The sequence below is a fragment of the Homo sapiens genome, chromosome 3 (genome assembly GCF_000001405.40).
Source record: "Homo sapiens chromosome 3, GRCh38.p14 Primary Assembly".
Lineage (NCBI taxonomy): Eukaryota > Metazoa > Chordata > Mammalia > Primates > Hominidae > Homo > Homo sapiens.
The window spans coordinates 9,054,491-9,077,053 of NC_000003.12; the positions used below are offsets into that span (position 1 = coordinate 9,054,491).

Here is a 22,563-nt window from a genome sequence, read left to right on the forward strand (position 1 = left end):
TTGTCCCACCTTTCCAGACCAAACCAAATACAACTTACATGTATTGACTGATGCCTTACATCTCCCTAAAATGTATAAAACCAAGTTGTGGCCCAACCACCTTGGGTACATGTTTTCAGGATCTCCTGAGGGCTGTATTACAGGCCATTGTTCACTCATATTTGGCTCAGAATAAATCTCTTCAAGTATTTTACAGAGTTTGACTCTCTTTGTCAACAGTTTCAAGTATTATTTGTCTTTTCTCACTAGAATATTCCCTCCCGGAGAGGAGGTGCTATGGTGCGTTGTGTTTGGTCACTTTACTCTATATCTAGAACAATGTTTGGCACATAGTATGTGCTCTATAAATACTTGAATAAATATTGTTGAATGAATACACAAATCAATTCTTCTTTCTAACGCAGCATGACAGGAAGCTCAGGTTCAAAATTAAGCACATTCAAGCCCGTTAGCAGCTCATACAGAAGAACATTGGCTTCATTCTCCTTTCTTTGGCCCTGATTTCCAATTTAAATTCCATTAACATTATGATCCACATACTATTCCGTGTAAACAATTTAAAATCCTTTGGGGGAAGATGTAGGGCATAAATAAATAAAGAAAACACTCTGTTCATCTCCTGTCTCTTTCCAGGTTTGAAAAACAAATATATAATTTGTCTCCATACAACCTCCCCCTGGGGACTGCACTGATTTGCTATCATCCTGAGCTCCAATCTGTCTCACATTTGTCCTAGGTCTGTCCTTTGTGGAGATGAAAAGCAAAGTTGCTGTCTCTGCCCAGGATAGAACTCTTGAGATTTGAAGATCAAGACTGTGTCTTCCCACCTCCCCCATGACTGCACTTTAAAGAATAAACCTGCCCATGACCTCGAGTGTCACTCCCTCCATCCTGGTGTCCTTTCTCCAGGGGCCTCCAGTTGGTTGGCATCCTCCTTGCAGGAAGAGTCCAGGTTGGAATAGGATGTTTCCCATCTGGCCTCTTCAGTCCACATCAGAATAGAGCCACTGCACTGGTATTTCCATCTGTACCCACTTGCTGAGAATCCTATGCCCCACAGCTGCAGGGGAGGGAGGCTGGGCCTGGTAAGGCTGACCTGTTCCTTGGAGCTCAGAATCCATGACAAATTTAGTGTGCCCTAGGTTGTTTATTTCATTGTGTAATTTAAAATACCTACTGTTATTTCTAATGATAAAACAGAAATTCATTGCAGAAAATAGAAGAAAGCACAAAGAAGTAAACAGAAAGCACCTATCACCCCACAACCCAAACATAGCAACTAATAACATTTAAGCATTTCCCTCCAGTCTTTTTTCTATGCCTAGGAATATACATATGCTTTAGTTTACTCCAGTTATGGCAATACTGAACATAGAGTCCTATTTCCTTTTGTGTTTTGTTTGTTTGTTTGTTTGTTTGTTTGTTTTGAGATGGAACCTCACTCTGTCATCCAGGCTAGAGTGCAGTGGCGTGATCTCAGCTCACTGAAACGTCTGCCTCCCAGGTTCAAGCAATTCTCTTACCTCAGCCTCCCACCTTTTGTTTTTCTTCAATTTAACATCTTATAAATGTTCCTCCAGGCTATTAATGATTCTTGGTGTGTGTGGTTTTAATGATCGTGTACTATTCCATCTTATAAGTGGAACTATCATTTCTTATGCACTTCGTGGCACAAGTGGACTCCCTGGGACAAGCCAGGCCTTCCAAAGAAAATCCCTTATAGGGCAGAGGGGCTCACTCACCTCCTCATTCTCTATCTTGAGGGTGGCCAGTCTGGACTGCAGCTGGTGATAACGCATGAGCAGTTCTGTCTGGACGGGCTGCTGAGCGCTGACCTGGCAGACCTGCAGGAATAACAGCCACCATCTGTGGTTGCCCTGTGCCCTCCTCACCTGTGTGGAGCTAGGGCAGGGGCTACCATTAACATCCCAATCACAGTCCAGGAAACAGGGGCTCGGAAAGGTTGAGTGACCTGCTCAAGGTCACAGAGCTCATAAGTGGCCGTGGCAACCAATGCCAGATGAGAACCGGGGTCTTCCTACTCAAAGTCCGCACTCTTGCCACTGCCAGGTGTGGCCTTTCAGTCATGATCTACATTTGGGAAGCATGTGAAGGTTTACAAAGAGCCTTAATTTAATCTTATTAAGCAAAACTAACTGGTTAATTTCAAGGCAAGAAATTGTGGCAAGAAAGCAACCACCTAAGAGAAGCCAATGGGAAAAAACCTGAATGGGAAACAATCAGGGGCGCACTCCCATTGTGCCGCAGAATGACACTGCAGCAGGGCAGCTGTGAGACAATGTGCTCTCACAGCTCATAGCTCTTCGTCCCCCAGCAATTGACTGGGCCGAGGGCTGGAGGAGGGGAAGCACCCAGAGAAATGCTGTTCTCCCTCTGCCTTCTTTTTTTGAGACAGGGTCTCACTCTGTCACCCAGGCTGGAATGCAGTGGTGCCATCACGGCTCACTGCAACCTCCACCTCCCAGGTTCAAGCAATTTTCCTGCCTCAGTCTCCCGAGTAGCTGGGACTACAGGCACCTGCCACCATGCCCAGCTATTTTTTGTTTATTTGCTGTTTGTTTGTTTGTTTTTTGTTGTTGTTGTTGTCGTTGTTTTTTAACAGAGACAGGGTTTCACCATGTTGGCCAGGCTGGTCTTGAACTCCTGACCTCAAGTGATCCACCCATCTCGGCCTCCCAAGTGCTGGGATTACAGACGTGAGCCACCGCCTTCCACCTTTCATGTGGGACTCCAGTATTACCTGTGGGCTGGGCTGCTGGCAGGCATGTGCACCTCACCCCTTCCAGGAACACAGCTAGGATCACAAGGGACAGTAGCGCTCTGTGGACTGTACTAGTTATTTGCTACTAATTGCACAACCCAAAGTTTACGGTCACCAGTGGTCACCATGAGGCCAGCATTTTCAGGTCCAGGTGATGGATCGGGAGGACTGAGAGGGATGGGGCAGACACAGCAGTGCAGCCCTGCAGAAGTAAGTGGGCAGAGCCATGCAGAGGGTCTAGCAAATGCCATCTTCTCGGATGCCTCCTTGCCCCTCCCCTCCCAGCAGGTGCCACGGGTGGCCCAGCTGAGCCTCACTGGGACCCAGAGGCTGGCTGGGTCTGGGACACTGTTGGAGTGGGTTCCCCCAATGCCCCGAGGGAGCAGTGACACAGACAAGCTCAGGGAACTATTTGCATAAGGGATTTTGTAAGCCTTGGGTAACGAGTAGGGCTGTGTTGGGGCCAGTGACAAGGGCCTTCTTTCCATTTGTTTTTCGTTTGTTTTATTCAGAATATAACAAGGATCTGAGCAGCACAAGCACTGAAGGAAACTCGATCGTCTGGTGTATCAAAGGCTTGCAGTGTTGGAGGAAGGGAGCGCCCTGGTGGAATGCACCAGCCTGAATGGCTGTGTTGAGGCTACAGTGAGGCCCAGGCTTCCCGTGGACCTCACCCGCACATGTGGGGTTAGAACATGAGCCTGTGTGCAGACTGGGGCTCCCTTGGAGTCTTCTAGACATAGCTGGGAGGGGTTATAAGGGAAGCCAAGGTCCTGTAATTCTGCACGGGGGGCACCTGAGACAGCAAGATGAGGGTATTAGTGGTAAACTCCTCAGCTGGGGAAGCCCATGAACCAGGAGCTTGACCCCAGGCGTCGGATAGAAACTTTCTGTACGTGCAACCAGGGATGATGTACTGGAGCACATGGGGGAACAGAGGGAAGCAGCCCCAAGCCCGGGCTCCAGGAGGAAGCCTACCTCATCCCCCATGTGGGGCTGGAACTCGAACTTGAGTGGAGGGCAGAAGACTTGATTGCACATGTCCATGACTGTGTGCTTGTCACTTCGGGAATCCAGGTTGTCCACTGCATTCTCAATGACATCCAGCCCTTCGTGGCGAGAGGTCTCCAGGTTGTATTCAGCTGAGAGATAGGTCCGGAAGGTGCGGGCCAGGCTGGCATGGAAGCCCAAATCACAGCACTTGGGGAGAGGCAACAACGGAAGGTTATGGGTGACAGCCAGGATGTGGAGGGGCGGTCACTGGCCACCACAGTGACTTACAATTACCTCCCTTTCCACAGCCGAATCTTCCATCCCGGAGGCCCCAAGGCACTTTGGAATCCTACTGCACAAACCTCACGGCGCCCCTCAAGGGGAGTTGCGGTTGAGATTTGGGCAATAGCAGAACTAGGTTCCCTATATTCACCATCTTTCTCTCTCTCTTTTTTTTTTTTTTTTTTTTTTTGAGACGGAGTCTAGCTCTGTCACTTAGGCTGGAGTGCAGTGGCACGATCTCGGCTCACTGCTACCTCCGCCTCCCGGGTTCAATCGATTCTCCTGCCTCAGCCTCCCGAGTAGCTGAGATTACAGGTGCCCACCACCAAGCCCAGCTAATTTTTGTATTTTTAACAGAGACAGGGATTTACTGTGTTGGCCAGACTGGTCTCGAACTCGTGACATTGTGATCTACCCGCCTCGGCCTCCCAAAGTGCTCAGATTACAAGCGTGAGCCCATCTTTCTCTTCTTTAGGGTGGTGTGCATGCATCCCCTCTGCCTGGAATACCCTTCTTTCGGAATTCAGTTTAGAGGTCACTTCCTCCAGGAAAGCTTCCTTGATGTTCTCCCCACTCAGAGCTGGTCAGGTGATCCTCCTCCAGGGGTCCACATTTCCCTCTACCTCTCTCACTGTGACCCCTGCCACTTAGTATTAAAATCACCTATCAACATGTCCTTGGCGAGGTAAGCTCCCCGAGGGCCAACCCACTGCTCCTGCTCCTCAAGTTCCAGACAACAGCAGGTGCTCAATTAATATATGGTAAATGAATGAATAAAGGGGCTGAAAGGGCAAAAAAAGAAAGCGAAAAGCAGGAAAGAGGAAGGTCTGGCCTTGGGCCATTTGGGAGCTCCCTCTCCTTGCGATGCTGACAATGGGGCCCCCTCTGGAGCCACGGGAAAAGCAGGAGCCCCCTGACTTCCCGACAGGATACACCAGGAAAAGAGTCCATCGACCATACCAAGCCTTTACTAAACATGGACAGGGCCAGCTCCCCCATCGGTGCAGGAAGGAGGACATGAGAGAAACAGTCCTGGCTCCTACTTAGATGACACAGAAGCCCTCCCCAGCACCACCGCTCACAGTGTTCTTTCTCCCAGTCTGCTTGTCCCTGTGGCGTGTCCTGCACAGCGGGTACTCGGGAGTCAGTGTTCCGTTCTCCATTTGCTTAAGCTGCCCGATTTCTCCCGAGATAACTTCCCCACACAAAGCTGATCTGTATAATTAAGTCTGTCTCATTCGCTACTTTCTTTCGCATGTACACGTGTCTGGCTGAGTGGCCCTAGGGGCGCCAAACATTTTACTAATAACATCTCCTTTACCACACTGGGAAATCCCCCAAGGCATGAACTGTGTATGGTTCCCCCCTGAACCCCTCAAACCCAGCAAAGGACCTGGTGTCCAGGAGGGTACTTGGGAAGTTGCCATTGGATATACAACTGCCCAAGCCAACTGCACTGGGGCCACCAGAGGCCCATGTCCCACTCGTGAAAATAGACACCACGAGGTAACATTCATTTTCCACCTCCCCAAATCACTGCCCTTCCCCTCCAGCAGGGCTCAAAAGAGCTGTGGCTACCCGAGAATGTCAGGTAAAGACAAAGACCAGCCCCTCCTTCAGCCAGTGACATGTGCCAGCCCTGGTGTGGGCCCTGCTCAGTCCCAGACTCCCCAGGGAGCTCACATCGATCAGATCAGAGACATCATGGATGTAGTATTTGCTTATAGCTGCGTTGGTGGCTGCCAGATTGAGCAAGTAGTCATTCCGGGCCTTTGTGCATTTCAGCTTGTTCTCAGAGTACTTGGCCTGCCTCTGGAAGAAGAAAAGAGTAGATGTAAGAGCAAGCCATTTAAGAGGACGGGGTTTGTGATTTTCTATTCCTTTTTTTTTTTTTTTTGAGACAGGGTGTTGCTCTGTCACCCAGGTGAGAGTGCAGTGGTGTGATCATAGCTCACTTCAGCCTTAACTCCTGGACTCAAGCAATCCTCCCACCTCAGCCTCCCGAGTAGCTGGGACTATAGATGCATGCCATCACACCTGGCTAGTTTTTGTTTTTGTTTTTCAAGTTTTTTAGAGATGGTGGGGTCTCACTATGTTGCCCAGGCTGATCTGGAACTCCTGGCCTCAAGCCATCCTCCCACCTTAGCCTCCCAAGTGTTGGGATTATAGGCGTGAGCCACCATGCCCGGCCCAGTGGTTTTTTTTTTCTTTATAGTAGCTGCCTGCCACCCAAGCCCTGCACAGCCACACCTATGGAAGACCTCCATCTGCTAGATGAGTAAGGGCTGGACCTGGACTCAGGCAGCTCCCCTTACACCTGCACCTTGCACCTGCACAGCCGATGAGGACACTAGATGAGCAGCAGCCTCTGACGGTCCTTGCTAGGGTGGGGTGTAAATAAGATCCCTGGCCAGGAGCGTTGGCCTGTAATCCCAACACTTTGGGAGGCTGAGGCAGGCATATCACCTGAGGTTAGGAGAGCAAGACCAGCCTGGCCAACAGGGCAAAACCCCATCTCTACTAAAAATACAAAAATTAGCTGGGTGTGGTGGCATGCACCTATAGTCCCAGCTACTTGGAAGGCTGAGATGGGAGAATCATTTGAACCCAGGAGGCAGAGGTTGCAGTAAGCAGAGATTGCACCACTGCACTCCAGGTCTAGGTGACAGAGGGAGACTCCGTCTCAATCAATCAATCAATAAGACCCCTACCCAGCACCCTCCAGTGATGTCTCAAACTGCTGCTCGCACCTGAGAAGCCCTCCATGGCCTTGTCCCATCCACTTCTCAAGCTCCACCTTCCCCCAGGCTCCCCCTCATTTGCTCAGCCTCCTTGGTCCATCCTTTAAGAGGCAAAATTCATTCCTGTCTCAAGGCCCTCAAACTCATGGTTCCCTCAGCCTTGGCCCAAGGTCTCAAGGCCAGATTGGCTTTCGATGACAAGCTCATCTACCTCTCCCACTCCCTCTGCCCACCCCTGCCCGGCTCTTTTCTTAATAAGCACTTCCACCACCTGAAACTGTATTTTTTTCTACCCTTTTATTTACTTGTTGATTGTCAGTGATCTCCCATTAGAAAATAAGTGGGGTTAGGGACTTGATCTGCTTTGTTCATTGCTAGGTCTGGAGCGCCCAGAACTGTCCCTGCACAAGGTCATTTTCAGTCATTTTCAGTGACTGGAGGACAGGAGGGAGGGAGGATGACTGGATGGGAGAGGTGGGGTGGGGCAGCCAGAGCCGCCCATCTCAGCAGGGACCCAATTGCCCCCCAGGGAGCTGCTCCTGGCTAAGCCAGCCTGGGAATGGAGCAGGAAAGAGGAAGTGGGCTGGAGAGCTGTCCCCTGCTCCTTTCAGACTGATGAGTCCCATTGCTGTGTAAAAAGTCAGGTCTCTGTAAATAAATGGTTTTTCTCCTTTGCCTAGACATTCTTACACCTTCCTATTCCACAGTGAGTTCTCATCCTTTTAATTCTCTTCAGAGATCTCTAACTTTTCCCCAGGGTCCTGGCAGTTACATCCTACGCCAGCCATGCACCTGACCCCCCACAGAGAGTTTTGATATTCTTGGCCTATTTCCAGTGGACAACTATGACCATGACCCTGAGACCATTTTTTAGCCCTTCATAGACTCATAAAATGTTATACCTAGAAAGGATGTTAAAGGTATTTTCATTAAACTCATCTATTTTATAGATGAGGAAATGAGAACTGGAGAGAAGTGGCTTGCCCAAGAGCCAAGTAGCTAATCGAACCAAAAATACAACTCTGAACTAAAAATCGGCCTCTGGACTTCCAGTCAGCACTCACTCTACCTCTCTCCTTCTCCCTATGTTGTAGTCCTATCATTCCCTGCTTGGTTATTTTATTTTATTTTTATTTATTTTTACTGTATTCACAGAGTCACACAACCATCATCATTATCTAACTTTAGAATATTTTCATCACCCCAGAAAGAAATGCTGCACCCATTCACAGTCACTCCCCATTTTCCTCTTCTTTAGCCCCTGGAAACCAATCATCTATTTTCTATTTCCATAGATTTGTCTATGCTGGACATTTCATAAATGTAGTTGCACAATATGTGGTCTTCCGTGACTGACTTCTTTCATTTAGCATACTGTTTTCAAGGTTCATCCATGTTGCAGCATTTGTCAGTACTTCATTCCTTTTCATGGCTGAATAATATTCCATCACATGGATATACCACATTTTATTCAACCATCCATCAGCAGATGAACATCTGAGTCATTTCCATCTTTTGGCTATTAAGAATAATGCTGCTATTCATGTACAAGTCTTTGAATGGACATATGTTTTTATTTTTCTTGGGTGGATACCTAGGAATAAAATTGTTGAGTCACATGGTAACTTAGTCTATGTTTAACATTTAGACTGCTTTCCAAAGTGATAGAATCACTGTACATTCCCTTTAGTAGTGTGTGAAGATTCCAATTTATCCACATTCTCACCAATACTTCCTATAGTCTGCCTTTTTAATTCTAGCTATCCCTGTGGGTATGAAGTGATAGTTCACTGAGTTTGATTTGCATTTCTTTAATCACTAATAATAGAGACAATCTTTTTTTTTTTTTTTTTTTTTTTTTTGAGACAGGGTCTTACTCTGTTGCCCAGGCTGGAGTGCAGTGATGTGATCATGGCTCACTGCAGCCTTGACCTCCCTCAGGTAATCCTCCTACCTCAGCCTCCCAAGTGGCTGGGACTACAGGCACATGCCACCACACCTGCCTAATTTTTCTATTTTTTGTAGAGATAGGGTTCTGCCATGTTGCCCAACCTGGTCTCGAACTCCTGGGCTCAAACTATCTGACCACCTTGGCCTCCCAAAGTGTTAGGATTACAGGTGTGAACCACCATGCCTGGCCCAGACAATCTTTTCATGTACTTATTGGCCACTCATACATGTTTTTTTAAGAGCAACATCTATTCAAATTCTTTGCCTTTTTTTTTTCATAAATAGAGATGGAATTTTGCCATTTTACCCAGGCTGGTCTCGAACTCCTGGGCTCAAACGATCCTCCCGCCTTGGCCTCCCAAAGTGCTGATATTACAGGCATGAGCCACTGTGGCCAGCCCTACAGCACTGTTTTTAACTAAATCTGTTTCGAGTTTCACAATTCTCAGCCCAGTGCTCTGGGCAATTGATCAGAGTTGACATGAGAGATGAGACGAATTTGCCACTCCTATCAGATTTGAAAACTGCAGCTCAGAGAGGTGTTGTAAACGTGGCATTTTCAAAACCCAGCTCATTTGACTCCAAAGCTAGAATTCCTCCCACCACACCCTACTAAAGGACTTTTCCAGAATCAATACACAGGGATTCTAACTCTCTCATCTTTGAATTGGCAATGGCAATTTTGGAATGAGCCCTTCACCAGCTTTCCAGGTGCTGGTCCCTCTTGTTGAGACACATTCAGCAATCAGTTCCCACCTCACCCCCCGCCCCTACCCTTGGCCATCAAATTGGCCTCTGGAACAAGCCCCTGCTCCCGCTAATGCCTTGTGATTCCAGCTCATCTGAGAAGGTGCTTGCTGGGTGTGAATCTCGTCACAGTTCAGCTTTCTTGTGAGTTGAGCACCTCGTCTGCCTGCTGACCTTAGCACTAAGCCAGGCCTAACCAGTGTTAGCACGGGCATGCCTGGCTCCGCTTCCACTAGGACACCGATCTCCAAAAGAGGAGATGCTGGCTACATTGTCCCATCCCCCCTACCCACCACCACCCCACTGGGATGCAGGGGAATAAGGGGGAAGGCTAAGGCTGTCCGCCAAGACCATGGCCCTCCCCTTTGTGCCCTGTCCCCAATCGCTCCCAGCCCAGGGCCCCCACTCACCTTCTCCTTCATCTTCTCAATCTTCTTCACAGAGCTGCGGCGCTGGGGCCGGTCCTCGTGCCGGAGCAGGTTCATGCTGAGGTCTCCTGACTTATTGAACTGCTTCTCCTCCTGCTTCTCAGCCTCCTTCAGCTTGCTTTCCGCACTGATGCTCTCTGCATGGTACATGTGGTAGGTTTTCATGACCTGGGGGTGCACAAGTAGGGGAAATCAGCAGCCAGCTATGGCCCAGCACGGCCCTCCCTGTTACTCCTGGCTCCATACCAAGTTCTACACTCTAGCTGGCCACTGCCCTGGTCCCAAAACACACTCTGGGCACCTGCCTTCCTTTACTTTTGCACAGACTCTCTGAGGACTGGATATGATGATGATGGTCATTACCATCACCATCATCATCAACAACAACATCATTAAGCCCTAACTAAGAGCCAGGCATGGGCTAGTAAAGAGGAAATTAAAAAATAATAATAAATAAATAAATAAATAAATAAATAAGGAGGAAATTTAAAAGGGTAACCGTAGCTCCAAGCATCTGGGGACTGTCAGACGTGACAAGGCAAGCCTGGCCCTTGCTCAGCTGTCCTCTCTAGCCCTGCCAGTAGTGACTGTGGCATCCCTCCGTCTCCTCCCAGTGCCGCGGGGAAAGCCCCTCCTCCCACACCCATGGGAATTGAATGGGAAACATCCTTCTTACACACAAATCATTTTCTCAGCTGTTTCCTGAAGTACAATGGGCTGCAAATGGCTCTGTACCCAAAATGAGTAATATTAAGTAACCCAATAGATATTCTATGCTCTCTGGAATAAATTCATCCTTGCCTATAAAAACAATTCCTATAAAGCAAATTGCACTTTGCTACTCTACTTCCATAATAAAAAAAATGGATATTGTTATTACAGGGGAAATTTCTGAGCCAGAAGAAATTCTAGACATCATCTAATCCAACAACCTTCTAGTTTGACAAACAGGGAAACTGAGGCTCGGAGGTGCAAAGTATCAGTGCAGAGATGCCAGACTTTACATCCATGTATCCAGGACCACAAGCAAAATATAGAACTTCCACTGCACCAGAAAGATCCCTCATGGCCCTTTGCAGCCAATCCCTGACCCCACCCCAGCCCCAATCATAGATTTGCCTTCTGTCACTGTAGATTGGTTTTGTGTGTTCTAGAATCCAGTTCCATGGAATCATACAATATAAACTCCTTTGGATCAGCCCTCTTTTCATTCAGCATAACTTTTCTGAGATTCACTGATGGTGCCGTACATATCAGAACTTCTTTTTTATGGCTAAGTATTCCATTGTATGGCTATGCCACAATCTGTTTACTTAGTCATATGTCCACAGCTACTTGAGATGTTTATAGTTTTTAGCTATTTTTGAATAAGGCTGCTATGAATACTTATGTACATTTCTTTGTGTGGACATGTATTTTGATTTTTCTTAGGTAAATACCCAGGCGTGGGATGGAGGGTCATATGGTAAATATATATTTAATCATATTGGAAATCTGGCCTCTCACTTTTAATCCACCACTTTTTCTACCAGATCATCCTAGATTGTCTGTATCATTTTTTCATAAATAGAGACGGGGTTTTGCCATGTTGTCCAAGCTCGTCTCAAACTCCTGGGCTCAAGTGATCCTCCTGCCTCAGCCTCCCAAAGTGCTGGTATTATAGGTGTGAACCACCACACCCAGCCCTTAATGAATTTTTTTAATTCATTACCATTTTCTGAGCAGGCATACTTTTAGTAGCCTGAACACTGGCTGGGCTGCTCCATACCAACAGCATTTTTACTGGTCCCCAACCAGAAATGTACTTTTCTTCTGCAATGCCAAGTGTATGATCATCTTTCTATGCTAAGAAACAAAGAAACTTCTGGAATCCATGGCTCCTGGGCCTTGTTCATTCTCTTCTGTGGCTTGGATTACTGTAACAGCTAACAGAGCCAAGGCTTCCCCCAGGAATGAAACGTGCTCCTATCTAACCAAGCCCTGTAAGTCAGAGAACTCAGAATGAATTCCTGGCCAACCCTAAAATCTTATTCCTTGTCATTTGAAGTGCTGTGAAGTGCGTTTATTAGAATGAGGAATTCTGTGACTTTATTTTTTCTTTTTGAGACAGAGTTTCACTCTTGTTGCCCAGGCTGGAGTGCAGTAGCATGATCTTGGCTCACTGCAACCTCCACCTCCTGGGTTCAAGTGATTCTCCTGCCTCAGCCTCCTGAGTAGCTGAGATTACAGGCACCCGCCACAATGCCCGGCTAATGTTTATATTTTAGTAGAGATGGGGTTTCACCGTGTTGGTCAATCTGGTCTTGATCTCCTGACCTCAGGTGATCCTCCCGCCTTGACCTCCCAAAGTGTTAAGATTACAGGCGTGAGCCACCACGCCCAGGCTCTGTGACTTTTATCATTAAATCACAGCATTGATTCATTGTTCAGAAAGTTGCCTTTGCCACTGGCCAGGAGTCAATGTGGCAACATATATTGTAGATCATGGAAGGTAAGAATATGGACAAGTGTCTGGGCTGAATCCTGATGGTCCCACTCCTTAGCTGTGTGACCTTGGACAAGTCACACAACCTCTCTGACCTCTGCTTCCTCGTCTGTAAAAATGGGATAAAAATTTACTTCCTATGCTTGTTATGAGCACTAAATGAGTTAATTTCTGTAAAGTGCTGAGAACAATACCTTCCACATAGTAAGAGCCATGGAGGTATCTATCAGATGCTACCACCACCACCACCACCATCATCATCATTATTATCCCTGATTTGGGCTCAGGGTTTAAGAACCTGAAACATGCTCACTTGGAAATGCTTACAAGCTCTGGAGAACATTAACTAATGTGAAAAAAAATATATTTTTATGCCATGTTTCTCCCTTCTTCCTTCATCCTAAAAATCCCCCAAACTTGGAAAACAATACATGGATTTAAAATGCAGTCAACTTTTCTTCATGGGTCTTGGTGGAAAGACGGCTTCTCTGCGTTCCGTCCATTTTTGCTCATTTGCGATCTCCCTAAGACTCCAAAAAACCCCCTTCTTGCTGATTTCATCCTCTGTGTATGCCAGTTCCACCAAGATCACATCCAAATAACTCAATGGACCAGAATATGTGCCATATTGATGCGTTCTCGACATCTAGTGGCCAAAAGGGGTGACTGCAGACTTGCAGATAATCAAAGCAGGCGCCTATTTTGATGATCTTCATGCCTTGGTTAAAAGGACACTGGGGCCTGTCAGGGGAGGCGGCGGGAGGGAGAGCATCAGGATAAATAGCTAACGCATGTGGGGCTTAATGCCTAGGTGATGGGCCTATAGGTGCAGCAAACCACGATGGCACACGTTTACCTATGTAACAAACCTGCGTGTCCTGCACATGTATCCTGGAACTTAAAATAAAAATAAAATAAATGAGTCCATTGAGTTATTTGGATATGGTCTTGGTGGAACTGGCATACAGAGAGGATGAAATCAGCAAGAAGGGGGTTTCTAGGAGTTTTAGGGAGATTACAAATGAGCAAAAATGGATGGAATGTAAAGAAGAAATAAAATAAAATAGGTGTGGCTAAAGTGTGAGAACGCCTGCTGCGGCTGTCTCCAGGACCCCACCTTCCCCCTTCTCGACATGTCCCTCCACATCCACAGACAACCCTGGGTTCTTTGCCTCACCACCATATTGCTGGTGTTTTTCATGTCTGGATCCCATCCCCGTCTGCGTTCAATGATTCCTGCTACATCTCCTTTTTCTATTTTGGCTTCTGAGTCTGCTTGCCTCGCCACGAATCTGTCATCTGTGCTGGGTAGTTCAGGGGAAAAGAGAGCCTTTCTATTTACAGCTAGATCTTCCTGTCCAATCACCATGCATCCATCCACTCTCTCAAGGTCAACAGCCCAGCTGGGTGTTCTCAATTCCCACATATCCTTTGCCTAGTTTTCTTTTTTTATTTTCTCTCCCTTTACATCATTTTCTACTCTTCTTGAGCCACAGAGTACTCTTCCTGCCCTCCGACAGGCCAAACTTCCCAGACAGCCTCTAAACTTCATTCCAAAAATCCCATGCTTGGAGAAGACAACCCAAGTACCCTGGGGCCAAACTCCCTGTGATCTACTCGATTCCTGATTCCAAGAATAACAGTGAACTCCACTGCCGAGGGTGACTTATGACAGACAGCTGCCACCAAAGAGTTCACCTGGAAGTTTCTCCAAAATGACTCTATTTGTACCCAGAATCCTCTAGATGTTTCTTTTATTTAATTACCTGATACATGGGCTTCAGCATGAATGGTCCTTAGCTCAATAGACTAGAACAGTTAGCTCAATATTGCTAGTCCAGGATGCATTAAATAATATTTAACCTTATCTATTGCTTCAAAGTTTGCAAACCTCCTTCCAGGAGCCCTTCTAGTAAAGGAGCATTTCAATGAGTCCTTTCCCTAATCCTGGGAGGTAGTGTGATGACAGTAACAACAATGATAGCAGCTAGCATCTATTGAGCACTTACTACTTGCCAGGCCTTGCTTTATGCACTTTACCTATATTAACTCATTTATTTCTCAAAAAAACCCTATGAGATAGGCATCCTATGATCCCTGCTTTACAGATGAGAAAACCATGGCCCAGAATAGGTCAGTAAGTTTCTCTAGGTGAAAAGCTGGTAAGTGGAGTCAGGGTTCAAAGCCAAGGTGGCTGACCCCAGAGCCTGGGCCTACTGAACACATGGTTGTTTTGCTTTCCTTGTACCCCTTTCTCAACTGTAAAACAGGGGTGAAAGGCTCCTCCAGCCCACTGGAATTCGGGAGACTTGGTTTTGAGACTCAGCCCTCCCACTACTTGCTGGGTAGCTGTGGAGAGGTGTGTCCTCTCCGTGTCCGCCTGGTGAAGATCAGAAGGGGGTAGATGGGGAAAGTGCTGTCAACTGCAAATTATCAAGTGACCAACTGCCAGCAGCAGTGTGCCCAGGGCTGGGAAGGGGCAGAGGTGGATGCAGGAGCTCAGCTGAGGCCAAGTTCCTGAACTGGGGATGTCTGAAGGGCCCCTCAGAGGTACCCATCCACTTGATGCCAGGGAAGGGATTCACTTTCCAGCCCTCCAGACTCTATTCAGGGAGTCTAGGGAAGGACTTCGTAGGGATGTGTCAGTTAAGACCACTGTTCTTGGACCAAGTTCAGTTGCATGTGTTCTCAGAATAAAAGGTCCTCCATAAATCTTGGTGTCCTAGCCCCTCACTTGAGGAGATGGAGGCTCAAAAGTAGCAAGAGCGGGCTGGGCGCGGTGGCTCATGCCTGTAATCCCAGCCCTTTGGGAGGCCAAGGCGGGCAGATCACAAGATCAGGAGTTTGAGACCAGCCTGGCCAACATAGTGAAACCCTGTCTCTACTAAAAATACAAAAATCAGCCAGGCGTGGTGGTGGGCCCCTGTACTCCTAGCTACTCAGGAGGCTGAGGCAGGAGAATAGCTTGAACCCAGGAGGCAGAGGTTGCAGTGAGCCGAGATTGTGCCACTGCACTCCAGCCTGGGCGACAGAGCGAGACTCCATCTCAAAAAAAAAGAAAGAAAGAAAGAAAAGAAATAGCAAGAGTGCTGTCCAATGTCACACAAAAAGCCAGGCAGAGCTGGGACTGCAGGCCAGGTCTGTTTACCGCTAAGCATTGCCTCTTCTGGTCATCACACTGCCTTTTGCTTTGCACACATTGCCTTTTGCCTCTTCCCTGATCCTCAGATTCTGAAAACAGCAAAGTGTTATCTGTACCATCTTTCAGCCCCTCATTTAAATGCAAAAGAAGGCAAACAGAATCTGGAAGTTGACAGCATCCATAAAGGGACACCTGAAGCAGGATAAGGATCAGTTGTTAGAAAACAGCTTCTCAATGATGCAGTCCCTGTGTGCTTCCTCCACCCTGCAGACAGGGCTGTCCCTGGGCACAGTGGCTCACTGCTTCCAGCATTTGTGTATGGGTGAAACCCTAGGCCAGTGCATGACTGAGACCTCCTTGAAGGAAAAGAGAAGCAAAGTCCTGAGGCCAGGGTCTTGTTCGTGATAGTATTCTCTGTACCAGAGCAGAGCCTGGTACCCAGCAAGTATCAACACATATTTGCATGAATGAATGACTGGCTGGGCTGGCTGGATCAACAGATCAAAAGATCAGTGGATCAGTGAATATGGCTGAATGGATGGGTAGATGGATGGATGGACAGATGAACAGATGGGTGGGTGGGTGGATAAATGCAGGGATGGGTAGATAGATGGGAGAAAGGAAGAGAAGAAGGCAGGGAGAGAGGGTAAAATGAGGGAGGTACAGTTCTATTGCCTGTGTTCTGCTGAGCATACTTGGAAGTAGGGAGATTGCTGTACCATCAATCATTAAATATTTATTGAGCAGTTCATTATGTGCCAGGTACTATGCTAGGCAATACTACAGTGTGGAAGACATGCAGGTCGCCGCCCTCATAGGATCCAAACTGTAGTAGAGATACAGGCAATTACACAAGTGATGATCACATGGTGGGATAAGTACAATGATGAAGGACGTACTAGGCACCATAGGAAGGCTTCCCGGAGGAAGTGACATCTAAACTGAACACTGCAGGAAGAGTAGCTGTTAGCTGGGTGAGCAGGGCTTGGGATGGGGGTGGAGTGTCCCAGACAAAGGGAGCAGAGTGAGCATTAGCCCAGGGGAGCAGGAGGCAAACAGGACTGGGGAGCAGCTGAAAGGTGGAAGAACATCAGGTATGTCAGGTATGAACATCAGGAGCACCAGCCAATGGAACCACTTCCTCATTCTCCCCAAGGGACTCCTCCTCAGTGGACACCTGTTGTTTTTCTCTGCCCAGACTCATCCAGTCTTCTTTCTTTGGGAATAGCCCCCTAATTTTATTTTGAGGAAATCCCCCAAATTCCCCTCCACTATTCTCAGTACACGTGGTTCATGGGAGTTTGACATCACCCCACAATCCTGGGGTGGGCATGAGACCCTGGCCTGGCCAATCCGTAAACTTATGTTCATCTGGCCATAGGAAGCTCAGCTAGGCCAATTAGATGCTACCCTAGGGCTTCACTGGAAACACTGGGAAGGGAGTGTTTTCTTTCCACTGGAGGGTGGGGAGAGGCTAATGGGAGGAGAATTTGCAGTGCTAGGGACCATTTTTGTCACCACATGGGAGAAGCCTGCCAGATCATGAAGTCCACACAGAGGAAAACAAACCAGAAGTGGGAGAGAGACTGATTCTCAAAGGTGGATGGATGGATGGATGGATGGATGGATGGATGGATGGATGGATGGATGGATTGGAAAGAGTGGGGAAGGAAGGTAGGAAGAGAAGGAAGGAGGGAAAAGGGTAAAATGGGGGAGGCATAGTTCTACTGCCTCTGATCTAGTGAGTATATTGGCGGGGAGAACAGCTACACCTTCAATTATCAAATATTTATTTATGTGTCAGGTACTATACCAAATGCACTACAGTCAAAATACAGTATAGAAGACAGTTGGGGTCTCTGGCCTCACAGAGTACACGCCGTACTGGTGAGACAGACAAATCAGTGTGTGAGCCCCTGGATCCAGTTAGACCTGAGCTACATGTTCATGTGATTCAACAGAGTGTCATTTTTATCTAAGCCAGTTTGCACCAGATTCCAGTCCCTTGCCACTAAACAAATTGCAAAAGGCAGACTTCCTTCCCTTTCAGCCTCCCCAACTACCCATATCAGTCCTGATCCCAACCGGCCAGGCTCAGTGCAGTGACTCAGGAGCAGTGCTGACTGGGCGGAGGCTCCCTCCAGCATCCCGGGTGCTGCTTCCCACCGCGCTAAGTGCTGCTCCTTCTGCCCCTCTCTGCACCCAGGAACTGTCCACTGTCGATCAGATACCATCTCTTCTCTGGCACCTTCCTGATACTCAGTAGATTTCATCACCCCCTCTTCCATGTTCCCACACACTGTCATATCCCCACTAAGGCACCTGTCATAGTGTGCAGCCACATCTCGTGGTCTGGATATGCTGATGATCAATACATGTATTCTTAGTGAATGGGTGTCTGGGCAGGACAGCAGAAAGAGAAGGGAAGGTTACCTAGAGGGAAACCTCTTCCATTCTGCTTAGGACCAGTTCCGTCCCTGGATGACACTGTGCACACACCCTGGCTGGCAGGCTGTGACAGCCCCGCAGAGCTGCCCTGCCCTAAGTCTGAGCCAGGACCCTGGTCTCCCTTCCAGGGCACAGTGGCATGAAGATCAATGCCCGGCAGGAGCCTCAGTATTCCTCAAACTCCACACCTTCATCCCACAGACGGGGGAAACCGAGTGTCAGAGCCCCACTATCTGGCACTGGGTCAGTGTTGCCACTTGTGTTAGCAAGGTGACTTTCGGTGTCATGGGAAGGAAACACTGCCAAACTGGACACTAGTAACACAGCAACCGAGGTGACATAGGGCTGGAGGAAGAGTCAGGAGATATGCTTCTCTCTGTGTATCTTCTTGCATTGTTTACTGTACTGTTCTTCACCCCTTTCAGCTCTCTGAGGATCCTTTGATTACATCAGGAGGAAAAAACAGTCGTGCCCACACATCTTCAAAGCTTCTCGCCTGCTGCTCTGGCAGGCACAAGCTTGAATATACAACACTGCTTGATTTTCACTTAACTAACAGAACGCTTCTATTTATACCAAACTGTGTTTCATCTGCTAATGTGAAGTATCATTTCCTTCCACAATAAATGCAGGTTCGTAGTTTATTTTTTAACTTTAAATTTTAATTCTTTTTAAGACGGGGTCTTACTCTGTCCCCCAGGCTGGAGTGCAGTGGTGCAATCACAGCTCACTGCAGTCTTCACCTCCCAAGCTCAGGTAATCCTCCCACCTCAACCTCCCGGGTAGCTGCGACTATAGGTACCCGCTAACATGCCTTGCTAATTTTTTGTATTTTTTGTAGAGAGAGGGTTTTGCCACGTTGCCCAGGCTGGTCTTGAACTCCTAGGCTCAAGCGATCTGCCTGACTTGGCCTCCCAAAGTGCCGGGATTACAGGCGTGAGCCAAGCCCAGCCCAGATAAGTAGTTTCTATATAGTCATATAAATAGTTTAATGTATTTATATCACTAGTGTAGGGGAGCGCTTAAGCACTCGGAGTCTGGAGCAGGTTCTGCTGTTTCCCCTCTGGGCAACCCTGAGCTGGCCACCTGGGCTCTCTGTGCCTCAGATTTCTCATCCCTAAGACGGGCGTGGTCATAATGCCACCTACCTCAAAGGGTTACGATGAGGATGAAATGGATCGGTACATGTAAAGCATTTAGACCAGCCCCTGGCCTTCAACAAGCACTGTACATGATTGGAGGCTCTAGTTATTCTTGAGATGAAACAATCTCCAAAATATACCTATGAACGCAAAGCAAGATGCAGAATAGTAAGTACAGTTGTCACCACTTGCATAAAACAGGAATGTGTGGGATATGCCCAAACGTGTGTGCTGATTGATGGCTAAAAGGTCTCTGGAAGGAGACATGGCTAACTGGACACTAATAACCTAGTAACTGAGATTATACGGGGATGGAGAAAGAGTCAGGAGACATGCTTCTTCCTGGGTACCTTCTTTTATTGTTTAATTACTGTCTTATTTTTTTAACCAAGTGTATGTATCTTCTATTTCTAAATTTAAATATTAAACAATTTTTTTAAAGGAAAGTCATCCAGCTCAAGTATGGAGCCAGCATCACAGAGAGCAGGCCCGGAGAATGGGAAACGAAGGAGGAGGTGGCTGCACGTTTTCCAGCGAAACATTCTTAGGGCTCTGGCTGGCCCAGTGGAGATGGGGAATGGAGAAGAAAGATTCCAAACTATGTAGGAAAAATATTTATGCCTCATTCTTTCATAAAAGACACAATGACTCAGGACTCAGGTTTGCTAGGCACTGGGCTATACTCTATGACAATCACTCTCCCCAGAATAATCCAGACAAATGAACTGGCAGCAGCCCCATGTTCCAGGGAGGGACTGGGCTCAGGGAGTTTGTGTGGCAGGGCCTTCAAGTTAGGTCCAGCTGACTCTAAAACCTGTGCTCTTCCAGCACGCAGGGCTGCTTTCCACTAATTAACTAACACTGGGGGAACTTAAAAAGGGAGGGGAGGTCAACTTAAAGAAAAATATTCAGTAAATGACAGAGGGCCCAAAGATAGGATGAAGCTGTGGGGCTGTACCTGAATGTCATCCTAGAAAGACACGCAGTGAGCCCAGGGTGGAGCTGGGACCAGAACTCAGGCTCCTGGGCTCCCAGTCTCAGCTCTCTCCACCATCCCCATCTCTGAGGGAAGTCATGAGGAGGGAGACACCTTTGCCAAGATTTGCCTGTTGGCCCAGAGTTGATGTCACATCCCTGAGCCCATACACAATCAATCAAGGCTTGAACAAGTCAAAGGTAGAGTGATTCATGGCTCCAGTTAGGGTCTACCTGTGACCAGCTGCTACTGGGTATGAATGGACACTCCTCAGGCCCTCCCCACATGGCAAAGAACAAAGTCACTGGGCCTCTCCTGCAGCCCTGGGCTTGGAAGGCCAGCCCACAGTTTGGAGCAGAGCTGCTGAACACAGAGGAAGAGACAGGTGGGGGGACACTGGACGTTCACTAGTTACTGACACACATGCATTTCATAATATAGAAATATATTGAAAATCTGAACACATTTTTAGCCGAACAGTGAAAACACAGTGGGGCTTACAGTTTGTGAGTTGTTTTGTTTTGATTTGCCTCTTCTAGAAGGATTGCCATACTGGTCCACGTTCTTTACCTCTGCCCTTTTTTTCTCCCAGGCCAATACATGAACAAGAACTATATTGTGTTGGGCTGATGGGAGTTCGAGGGAAAAGAAGTGGAGTGGGATATATGTGTGCGCACGCTTGCATATATGTGTATGTACATACAAGCACGTGAATGTGCATATGTGCTAGTGTGTGGTGCATGTCAAACTGCACATGCATGTATGCAAGTGTGTGTGTGTGTGTGCGCGCGCACATATGTGCATAAACACCCATGCTAGCATGTTTTAAAGAGGAGGGTGCCTCAAGGTGCTAAGGGCTGAGCAGATAAGGACTGGGTGATAAGGACTAGGCTTATTGAGTGAGTGAATGAATAAATGAATGAACAAAATGCCTGGCCTTGCAGTCTCCTCTGCATCCTTCCTAGCCCCAGATAGAGACAAGCCTTTTCTCTAAAGCAAGTGATGGGTGGCCTTTAGCATTTATCTCCACCATCATTATACCCTGTAGGACCCCCGGAACAGACCACCACCACCTCCCTTACAGAACTTTAAGAAGAAAAAAAGTGGAGTTTACTGGAAAATCCTTTCTCTGCATTATTTGTTCCTCAGTGACTGTGGTAATGACCCTAGGGCTGAGGGAGGAGGGGGACTGTAGACTTGTATAACCAGGCATGGTAACTAGAAAGTGCTCAAAAGAAATCCCTAGCAATGAAGCATGAATTTGGGGCACATAGTGCCGCCAGCAGCTGGGTGGCTGGAGTGAACTGTTTGCAAAGAGGATTGTGATCATTACTGGCATGGCTGCAGGCATGGCCCTTTGCATTGTGACTCTGTAAGGGGAGGGGGCCTTGCTTTTCTAACCCAGGACTCTGGGCTTGGCTGTGTAACTTGCTTTGGCCAATGGGATATTAGCAAATATGACACAAGCAGAAGCTTGAAAAGTGCTTGCACATTGGGATTTGCTCACTTTGGGCTCTTTTTCTTTTTTTAATTGACCAGAAAACTGCAGCCACAGGAGTGGCCCCAGTTGAACCCTGCCCAAATTGCTGACCCACAGAATCACGAGCACAGAAAATTGTGGTTGTTCTAAGTCACAGAGTTTCGAGGTAGTTTGTTACACAGCAACTGATAGCTGAAACAAAGGCTTTAAATAAGTCACTTCTCTGTGCCTCCATTTCTTTATCTGTAAAAATGTAAGAGTGTTAATTAAATAATATATATAAAATACCTAATACAGAGTGAGATGCATCATAAGCACTCATGAAGTGGCTACAGATGTTAGGATCATCCCTGTTTGGCAACAAAGAGGAGAGCCAACGAGGTTAATTGATTTGGCCAAGCTCGTAAGTGGTGCAGCAGGAATTCAAATCCAGATCTGTCTGTGATCAGTGTGCACTGCTGTGATCCTGCATTGCCTTCCCTGTTGAGAACTCCTTCTCTCTTCCTCTCATTCCCTCTGCTTCTTTAATTCCTACCCATCCAAAGGCACCAAGCTCAAAGCTCACCCTGGAACACAGTAGCCCACTTTTCTGAATCTTTTTCCTTCTTGTTCTCCCTCCCTCCCTCCCTCCTCCTCTCAACCCATCTCTCACACATGTGCATCTCCCTCAACTAATACACACCCATCTCCTCCTATGTGTGTGCATGGTTGGCCAGGGGCTCTGGGCACACTGTGGGGAACAAAGTCCAGCCCCACAGAGCTCACAGGCGAGTTACACAGCCAAGCCCAGAGGTACCTCCTCTGTGAGCCCACATGTCCAGCACATACTAGGCTCTGACTTGTGTTGTAGCAACAGTTCACACACTACTCTTTTTATATTATTATTATTATTATACTTTAAATTCTAGGGTACATATGCACAACGTGCAGGTTTGTTACGTAGGTATACATGTGCCATGTTGGTTTG

At 47.5% G+C, this 22,563-nt stretch overlaps 1 protein-coding gene across 15 annotated transcripts in view; it reads right to left on the bottom strand.

The window, feature by feature from the left end:
- Nucleotides 1-22,563, bottom strand: part of SRGAP3 (SLIT-ROBO Rho GTPase activating protein 3) — a 382,437-nt gene that overhangs the window by 73,900 nt on the left and 285,974 nt on the right. For 14 of the 15 annotated variants that reach the window (XM_024453843.2, XM_047449335.1, XM_047449333.1 and 11 more), the window contains 4 exons: nt 9,906-10,091; nt 5,741-5,869; nt 3,761-3,982; nt 1,743-1,844 (listed from right to left, as the gene is read on the bottom strand). In XM_024453843.2, the coding sequence (XP_024309611.1) occupies nt 1,743-1,844; nt 3,761-3,982; nt 5,741-5,869; nt 9,906-10,091 (639 nt within the window). Of the gene's footprint in view, nt 1-1,742; nt 1,845-3,760; nt 3,983-5,740; nt 5,870-9,905; nt 10,092-19,146; nt 22,196-22,563 lie in introns of those variants that run through there. The other variant, XM_011534301.4, reaches the window with a different exon arrangement.